The following is a 1,820-nucleotide window of genomic DNA, read 5'->3' as shown; positions in this document are numbered from 1 at the left end:
GCCCTCTCAGGGGCATCCTTGCTGCAGGATATCACAAGGGTAGAAGGTAAAGCAGCTGCACAAAACATCTTTGCTCTTGTTTGTTACTCTGAGATGATCCTCTGCCTGAAAATATCTAAGCAGATACTTTTCTCAGCTTTGCAATGCAAATGATATTTAACAGTTCCCTAGGAATGTTTTGTGTGCTTATCAAATTTCAGCTAAACACATTTATTTATATGATAAATATGATAACCAAAAGGTTCCATGTATTATCTTTTCAATATTCATGTTATACTGTACAAGCACTGTATTATACAAATACTGTATAATATAGTATTGTAAGGTACAAAAATACAATAAACTAACCATACTTCAACTCTGCGGGGTTGCTGTGGGAGAGCTCTGCAGGGTTGCTGTGCAAGCCCCAGGTAAGTGATTAAGTCAGACAATAACTACATCAGTGCTTCTCAAATTTTCATGTGCCTGCAGATTATCGGTTGGGGGCGGGGAGTTTTTAATATGCATTCTGACTTAGTAGGCCTGGTGTCGGGCCAGAGATTCTGCGTCTCTCCCAAGCTTTCAGGTGATACAGATGCTGACTGGTGGACCACATTTTGAGTAGCAAGATGCTAAAGCTTCTTACAACTCTAAACTTTCAAAATCCTTTATAAAAGGATAGCTATAATGTATATGTGAAATGGACTATGGAAACATAAAATAATAAAAGCTTACTATTGTCAGTCACTTGGGAAGTGTCACTTTTGGAAGTTAGTCACTTCCCAAGTGTACATCTCAGGATATACAAACTCTTAGGGGAACTCCATGTGATTTAGAAATCTAGCCAGCTTGCCAAGAGGATAATGAAGAATATAATTGAGGTGTGGGTGAAAACCTCCAAAGACTAGAAACCTTTGCTCTGACATGCACCCTGAACATGGTTGTCTCCAAGCCAAGATTTTATTAAAAGGTGATTAAGCCCAACCTTGAGAAAACATGTGTTTTCAAGAGACTCTTGAACTCTCAGCCTCAAGTGGAGTTAGGCAATTCTGGAGAAACCAGTTAACATCCTGGGCCTATTACTTGCAAGGAACATTTAGGCCCCCCAAACAAACAAGATGTTAGCTAAATAATAGGCCATAAATGTAGAGCAAATTGGAGAACTCCAAAATAACCAAGGACAAAAGAGAACTTCAGAGAGTCAACAATTTGTACAAGGGCTATTATCCTAGACTCAATTTGTGTTTCTTACATAGCCAAAGCAATCTTCTCCAAACAAAAATTTGTGTATGCTACCCTGCTATAAAATTATCTAAGGCTCACGACGGTACCTACAGAGAAATAGAAATACTGATTCTTCTTAATGTAGAATCCTATGAGGTTTTCCAAAAACATACAATTGTGTAACCACAATCACAATCAAGATATCGAACAGTTCTATCTATCTCAAAAATCCTCCCCTTCCTCTAAGTAGCCAATCCTTTCTGTACCACTCCCACAACCCCTGCCCCAGTCCCTGGTAACCAAACATCTGTATTCTGTTCCTATCATTATTCCTACTCTAGAAGGTCATTCCTATCATTATTCCTACTCTGGAAGGTCAAATGGAATCATATAGAGTGCTGCCTTTTGAGTCGGCTTCTCGTACTTCACACAATGCATTTGAGATTTATCAATGCTGTGGCATGCTTCAGGAGTTCGTTCCTTTTTATTACTGTAATCCATTGAGATGCCACGCTGAGCCATATTGGAGCCCGAAGCAGAAAAACAGAAAACAAAAATTGCACCCCTCTATATATGTTTTTTATGTATTTTGTGGATATTTAAACACTAAAATAATA

Source organism: Homo sapiens, chromosome 6 (assembly GCF_000001405.40).
Source record: "Homo sapiens chromosome 6, GRCh38.p14 Primary Assembly".
NCBI classification, from domain to species: domain Eukaryota; kingdom Metazoa; phylum Chordata; class Mammalia; order Primates; family Hominidae; genus Homo; species Homo sapiens.
Note: the sequence above shows the minus strand (reverse complement) of the source record.